The following is an 8519-nucleotide window of genomic DNA, read 5'->3' on the forward strand; positions in this document are numbered from 1 at the left end:
ATTTGCAACAACTTTTCTCCCACTGACTCCCAGTGACCTTTCCCACCACTGTCCCTTTTCAAATACAGAGTGCGTGTAGGTAAGCCCTCCCCAGGAGGGAAGAAAGAGGCCATTAGGCAGAGAGGAGATTTGCAGGGTGGAAGTACTAACTGGTTCTATCCCACTGCCCACCTCTGAAAATAGCCTCCTTGATGGCCACAAGCCCAGACATCTCATGAGAGCACCAAGTAGATTACATTCTTATTTATTTAAAAGGAAACAGCCCACCTGGGCCTGGATTCTCCACAGAAAAACAAAAGAGAAGCAGAGAGAATCAAACTAGCTCTCTGGAACAAAGGTGTACAGTTTAAATGATTGCACAACAACTGCTGCAAACCAGAACATTCTGTACGGTCGGAAGAGGCTTAATTAGCCTGAACCAAAAGTCTAAGGTCATGTGATTCAGAACATTTCACAGCCTGGGTTGTGACATTAGAGGTGCTACGGGCCATCCTACCAGACCACTGTGGGGCCCCAAACTGGACAGCCTTTTGTTTTCTCCAACCGAGGCTTAATTTAAATTAAAAACATCGAGGGGTAGTGGGGAGCCTCTGCCTGTCCTTTGGAAGCCACAGTTGTTTCATTTGTATGCGTATCTGTGTGTATTCTGAGAGTGTGTGTGTCTGTGGGTTTGTTGGTGTTCTATGCTCCTAATCAAAGAAAGCTTATGAAAGAGAAAAAGAAGTTTAAATAGCAAAGTAGTGACATCATTTCCAAGTGTTCTGGGATGAGAAGATTGTTCCATAGTTTACATATTCATTTATTCATTCATTCTTTCTTTCTTTCAATCAAACTCTGAGCGAGCATCCATTTAGCCTTAGACTCTGTTACAGGAAACAGACCGCGAAAGACGCATGTTCCTGCTATTAGTTCCTATCATTGCTGTAATAGATTACCACAAACCTGGTGTCTTCAAACCACAAAAATTTATTATCTTGCAGATCAGAGTGTCAGAAGTCAAAACTGGGTCTCACTGGGTGAAAATCAAGTTGTCAGCAGGGCTGGCCTGCTTCTGGAGACTTCAAGGAAAACCCATTTTCTTACCATTTCCAGCCTTTAGAGGCCACAGACAATCCTTGTTCATGGCCCCTTCCCCTATATTCAAAGCCAGCATGTCAGACCGGGTCTTTCTCATGCTACAAGCTCTCTCTCATACTACCAGCTCTCTGGTTCTCTACTCTTCTGTTCTCTCTTCCACTGTTTAGGATTCCTGTGATTACATTGGGCCTACCCAGATCACCCAGGAAATCCCCCCACTCCAAGATCCTTAACTTCATCACACCTGCGAAGTCCGTTTACCAGGTAGTGCCAAAATATGAGGTGATATATTCACAGGTTCCAGGGATTAGGACTTGGACATCTTTGGGGGACTATTATTTTGCTTCCCACAGTCCCCATGTCAATAGTTCTTATTTTTTAGACCTGACTGAAACTGACTAACCTTCATTTTGGCCTATTGTTCCTCATTAGACTCCTTGGCTATGCTTTCAGGGTGTATTCACAGACATCATTTTTGTAAACTGTCCTCAGGCCTCTCCTGGTTTCCTTTTAACCATTAGCATGCACATTTATCTCCCTTGAAGTCTCCTTCCAAGACACCCTACGCAAGGAAATAATTTATTATTTAAGACACATTAGTCCAACTTTGGATTTGGAACTAAACACAAACACTAAGATGAATATTCATAGACTCTTGAAGCAATGGCCTGGCCCTTACCTTTCCCCAGAATGGGTTCTCTGGGCCAAGCCCAGAAAGGTACTTACATGGCTGGCTTCCTGCTCACAGTTGAAATGTGTCTCAGTTCTCTGCTTGCAGTGCGTCTCCAGTTTCTCCTTATTCTTGGCCTGCTGAATCCCAGCAGCTTGGATCAGCCATTTTCCCTTTTGCATTCATTTCCATCTGGGGGATGGAGTTTTACCTGGCTCTGATTTCTAATCCCTTTACCTGTGCAGTGAACAGAAGAATGCTGCCACCCCACAAAGATAACCTCATTCTAATCCCTAGGACGTGTAGATATAGTCACCACACATGGCAAACCTCAGCAGATGCAACTGAGGTTAAGGACATTGAGATGGGACAGTGTCCTAGATTAAATGAGTGGGTGTAATATAATCATAAGGGCCCTGGTGAGGTAAGAGGCTTTCCTGGCTGCAGAGAGCCCAAGAGAGACAACAGCGTCAGAAAGAGTTGATGTCCCAGTCCTGGTCCCAAAATGTAGCAGGCTATTTGTAAGGACCAGACAGAGATCTGCAGATGCTGGAAAGGGTGGGGAAAGAAGTCCTTCCCTAAGGCCTCCAGAGAGGAATGCAGCCCCCTCGACACCCTGAATTTAGCCCAGCAAGACCCTTGTCAGATTTCTGACCTGCACAACTGTAAGATAATAAATACACATTGTTTTAAACCATTAAATTGTGGTAATGTGTTACAGCAGCAATAGAAAGTTAATACAATGTGCATTCTTTTGCAGTCTATGCTGATGATTTAAGCCCTCAAAATTAATGTGATTCAGAGTCATTAGTGGACTGGCAACACCCTCCTCCAGATCATTAGCCAGAATTCAAATAAGCCCAGGCCTAATGGGGACCCCTGCAGGACTCCATCTGAGAGCGCCTTGGGTTGAAGTGGGCATGACATTAATTAATCTTCTGTAGGCCTTGCGATTCCAGGGCCTGATTTTATATCTGAAGCAATCTGTATTTTCCCTCCCAGACATGACACTGGACAGGTTTTGCCTTTGTAAGGAAGATTATCTTCCCCGTCCTTCCTCCACTGATGTGGCAGTCAGTGCCCCCTCCCCACTCCATACCACCACCTCTCCCCTGATGCATGTGTGCGCGCACACACACACACACACACACATACACACACATAGACACATGTGCAGAGACACATGCATACAGAGACACAAACACACACATAATCACATACATATACACTTCTTTCTTTTTTGAAAATAAAGCAGTCCAGATTTTGAAAAATATTTGCTCCCTCAGTGCTCTGCTGGGGATTGCCCCAGGGTTTGTGAATTTCTTTTACCTGCTAAGTAATTTATTATGTAATAAAACATTGGGTACTTAAAGGAACAGTAGATTGAACCAGTCAGTTTTCAAGCTTTATAGAAGAGAAGACTTAGGTTGAATTTTTTCTTTTAAGGGATACCAAGAACTTCATGGATTTTTGCCATTAAGTCTTTGAAGATGCCAGCATGTGCCAGGTGAGGGGCAGTAATCCTAAAATGTACCATCATTTTGCCTGATTGGAAGCACTTCTTGCTTCAGACTTAGAGTTTTCGAGATGATCTGTTTGGTCTTCTGATTCTTGTGTTCTCAGTATTCACGCCTCTGCACTATATTCCAGACACTATTCTGGGTATTGGGGATGCCGGGGGTCCCTGGGTGAAAGATTGAAGTTGTAGATACAGATTTTTTTTAACTTTTATTTGCATTTATTTTATGCTGAATTTATTCCCATGCCATAGTTTTTGTTTCTTTAGTTTCTTCTGGGATATCTTTTTCTTCTGTGCAACCTCCTCTTCTGGTTTAAGAGCCGATTGTTCCTTTTCAGTGAGGATCATTTCAATGTGTCAGGGAATGTTCATGTACGGGCAGAGCACGAGAGTTCTTAAAGTGAACAAGAAGATTTGAACCTCTTGATTTGCATGATTTTGTGGAGTTTTCTGGCTCAAATGAATAATGAACCATTTTAACAGATCACCTCAGGCTGCTTAGGGGAAGAGCAGAGATTTTATTTTTTTATGTGCACAAATTTATGAAGTACATGTGCAATTTTGTTACATGTGTAGATTGTACAGTGGTCAAGTCAGGGCTTTTAGGGTATCCAAATAACATACATGGTACCCATTAACCAATGAAGATACAGATTTGAAAGTCATTGACCATGATTAGCATTAAAAGCCATTGGAATACAGCATCACCCTGGGGTGTGTGTAGGCAGAGAAGAGAAGGGGAATCTAGCCCAGAACCCAGAGCACGACAAAACTTAAAGGTCCAGCAGAGGAGGAGGAATTAAGAACAGAGGATGCTTTCATGGTAGGAGGAAAACCAGCAGGGTGGGGGATACCATGCAAGCCGCAAAAGAAAGTGTTTCAAGGAGAAAGAATAGTTAGTTAGTGGTGCCAAATGCTGGCAGAGGTCAAGCATGGAAAGGACTGATTGGTGATCACTGGTCTTGATGACACAAAGGTGATGTTGACATGAGCAATTGGAAGAGATGGAAACCCAGTTGGAATGGTTGAAGATAAAACATGGAAAAAAGGAGTAGAGACCATGGCTTCAATAAATTTTCAATTAGTTGCTACAAAGAGCAGCAGATGCAAGTAGTAGCTGGAGGTGGAGGTGGGGTCATAGGGAGGAATTTCTTAAGTGGGAACACTAGTGATAAGGATAAAATACAGTGGAGAGACAGAAATAGTGAGGCAGCAAATAAAATGGATAAATGCAAGGAGGAAATCCAGGACATAGTGAGAAGGAAGGGACCCAAAGTGCAAGGAGAAAAGGCTGACTTGGGTAAAAGCAGAAAGTTCACCCACGGAACCAGAAGGCAGGGCAGTGAAGATGTGAGCACAGAAGCAGGTGTGTTGGCAGATTTGGCAGGGAGAAGATGAGGGATTTCCTATCTAATTAACTCTGTGTTCTCAAAGAAGTATGAAGCAAGGTCATCATCTGCCTTTTGTATATCTTCAGCATCTGAGCTAGTACAAATGCTGCTGCCTTGTCAGCTAAGGTGATACCTAGGATCCTGGCGCAGGATCTGGTGTAGACACTGATTACTTATCAAGAAAATCACTTCTCCTGTTGATGCATGCGCTTCTCAGCTTTGAGATGGTAAAGACAACTATCGTATTAATCAGACATGGAAGGAGTCACTCTTGAAATTTCTGCTCCGGGAAATATGGCTAACTAGAGATCCAGAGATATCTGAAACACTGAATACCTTTAAAATATGTTTTGATACGTATGGCAGAGCTGGCAGGAAGTAAGGACAATTCTGAGAGGCTGGAAACAGTGAGAAGATATGAGCGCAGGGAGGTAAGCTACAATTGGAGCCAGTGCTGTCCTGTGTTGTCTGAAGACCACTGGATACCTCGAGCCTGGGTTTTAACTGGCTCTGTGCCTAAAAGACAGGAGACAATGCCTCAGCTAGAGATGAAAAGTCAGACTGAACCCTGGCAACAAACAAACAACAGGACCTCAGAAGGGAAACGCTCTCAAAAACTGAACTTAAAAAATAAAATCTACCGAAGAAGAAGCTGGATATAAGTCTGTCTCATTCTTGGCCCTTGATGGCGGGGAGCATCAGTAGGAAAAACATCTCCTCAGAGAATATCTATCCAAAGCCTACACTTAAGAGGTTTGGGGGCTGGAATTCATTCCAAAAATGCAAGACAAACACGCAGTTAAAAAGGAATAGACTTCAACCCATGTCTCAGAAAATTGCTGCAATAAAGTTCTAGTAACTGGTGTTTACAGAGACAGAGACAGAGATAGAGAGATCCCAAAACACGAAAGAAAACAAGTCACCATGAGAAGGATCAATAGAACCAATAAATTGCAAAACCAGACCATATAAGAATACAGGAACAGGATTATCAGATGAGAATGTAAGATATGTTTGTTTGATATGTTTAAAAACTGAAAGGCGGCGGCTGGTCCAATTGAGTGCAGTGGTGTTTACAACTAATCAATTACAACCAGTTACAAATGTCTTTGTTCTTTTTCCACTCCCACTGCTTCACTCGATTAGCCTTAAACAAAACATAAAGTAAAATAAAACATGAAGGTAAAAGGTGGCAAGATTAAAAAGTTCTAGAGGTCTGCTGGACAACATTGTGCTTATAGTTAACAATACACTCTACCCTAAAAATGTATTGAGGATAATTAATTTCATGTTTTTATAACAATGAAAAAGAAACATCGTATAGAAAAGTTGGCAGAGAAAAAGAGACTACCAAATACAATCAGACAGATTTTGATAAAAATATCAGTTAGAAATTTGAGAAACAAAAGCTAAAGTAACTAGTCAGAACTACAGAGAAAATTTGTAAAGTCAAATATCAAGCTGAAGAAATTACCCAAAATGGGCCAGGTGGGGTGGCTCATGCCTGTAATCCCAGTACTTTGAGAGGTCGAGGCAGGTGGATCACCTGAGGTCAGGAGTTCAAGACAGCCTGACCAACATGGTGAAACCCTGTCTCTACTAAAAATACAAAAATTAGCCAGGCGTGGTGGCAGGCACCTGTAATCCCAGCTATTCTGGAGGCTAAGGCAGAAGAATCACTTGAACCCAAGAGGCAGAGGTTGCAGTGAGCCAAGATCGCGCCATTGCACTCCAACCTGGGTGAGAGAGCAAGACTTTGTCTCAAAAAAAAAAGAAAAGAAAAGAAATTACCCAATATGCAAAATGTATACAGTGACAAAAAGATAAAAAATACTAAGGAGAGGTTAAAAGGCAAGGAGGATTGAGGGGAAAGTTCTAACATACATCTAAAGGGAGCACCACAGGAGATAATGGTGAGAATGGGGAAGGTGAGACAAAGAGATCATGAATGAGACCTTCCAGAGCTGATTAATGACAATGATCCTCGGATTCATAAAGCCCAATGAACATCAAGATTTCCTAATGAAATCTTCACCCATACACACCCAATGAGAATGCAGAATCACAAAAGACAAAGAAGTACTCAGAGAAAAAGACAGATAACCTACAAACAATATTAGCTCAACAGCTAATTCATGAACAGCAACAACACTGAGAGAAAGTCATTGTCAACCCAGAAAAACTCTCCTTCAAATATGAGGGTGAAATTAACACATTTTTTCAAATAAGAAAAACCTGAGAGATTTTTACCAACAAACACTCAGTACAGGAACTTCTAAAGGATGAATTTCAGGAAGAAGAAAATGATCTCAAAAGGAATTAAATGGTTCTCAAGAAGAAATCAGAAGTAAAGAAAATAATAAACATATGGGTAAATATTTTAAGGTACAAAATACTAAATGTGATATCCAATTTGTGAAGTTAAAAAAAGAGATAGAAATAAAATACTAAACAAAAATAGCGTATGAGTCAGAAACAGGTAATTAGGCAACTTATCTCACCCTAGGAGTGACAGTTCTCTACCACCATAAATGTGAAGTAGCAGCCATTTTCAAAATGATCTCTGGAATCTAGTTGTTTCTACCTCAGATCAGTTTTTGATATCTTGCTCGAAGCGTTAATGGTTGCATTTTCTATGAGCCAAATTTCCTAATTGTGGCACTTGGGTACAAACCCAAAGCATTTAAGTAGCTCAACCAAGTGCAACACATCCAAAAACTCCTAGATTTTTGCTTTTTCCATTTCCGTCTCCATTTAATTTTGAAGAGTGATGAGATAACTGCAATGACAGCAATCTAAGTGGTTGTATATTTTGTCTAAAATGCCCTGAAATCATTCTGAGATATTATGTAAATACTCACATCTGCTCATTACGTCTTTAGAGGGGAGGCTCCACAGTCCTCCTGCCAGTGCTGTTTCTTAAGATGAGATCATTAGAAAAGGATTAGTGGTGTAATGTCTGCGGGGCTCAAACAATAATTTGAGACTTTCAGATGTGCACAAGGTAATTTTAAATAAATTCCAGGGTTTTTCTGATGATAGCCCTCAGTTCAATCATAGCTGCCTTTAAAGAAATGCTAATTGGATGAGGTAATATTTAATGCAAAACTTGACGCATGCCAGGCCCTCAATAAATATAGCTATCATTATTCTTAGTATAATTTCTGGGTATAAATAAAACAAACACAGAAAGTGTGGCACCATGATGGACTTTAGAAGTCTTGGTTCCCAGCAGTGACTTATAACTTTCCAAGGCCACAAAATGGAGGGGACAGAGAGAGACTTAGATATCACTACATTTGATTTCTGGGGATTGCTGATTCATTGAGTTAATAAATATTTAGAGAGCACTTATGCTCGGCAATGATGACACAATAATATACAAGATGTGATCCCTCCTCTAAAGGAATTCACAGTTGACTAGTAAAACTGTTGCCAGACCCTGGAGACAGAGATGAACAAGGTATGTGTCTTCGGTATCTCACCATCTATTAGAGAACACAGATAAATTTTAAACCCATAAATTACAAAACATCACTGTTGTAAAAGAGTCATAGACAAAGCATTGGAGGGTACAAGAGACAGGATACCTAATCCAGATTAATGGTGTTGTGGAAAATTTTAAAAGGAGTTGACTTTTGAAACTGGACTTGGAAGATGAATAGAAAATAAAAAGAAAAGAAGGAGCATCCTGGACAGAGGGGAAAATGCCTCTAGAGCCACAAAATGGGATGCCAGCTTTGAGGAATGGCGAGCAGTTCTGCTGGCTTGATTGTCGAGTATGTAGGTGAAAACTGGCAAAAGTATGGGCTGGACAACTAGATTGGACTCAGTCTGGGACAAATCTTGCAACATTTACAAA

General features: G+C 41.1%; 2 pseudogenes; one reads left to right on the plus strand and one right to left on the minus strand.

Annotated features, from left to right (window-relative positions):
- On the minus strand, positions 3465-3762 carry RPL17P51 (ribosomal protein L17 pseudogene 51; annotated as a pseudogene).
- Positions 5704-5809, plus strand: RNY3P9 (RNY3 pseudogene 9; annotated as a pseudogene).

This window comes from Homo sapiens, chromosome 13 (genome assembly GCF_000001405.40).
Source record: "Homo sapiens chromosome 13, GRCh38.p14 Primary Assembly".
NCBI classification, from domain to species: Eukaryota; Metazoa; Chordata; class Mammalia; order Primates; family Hominidae; genus Homo; species Homo sapiens.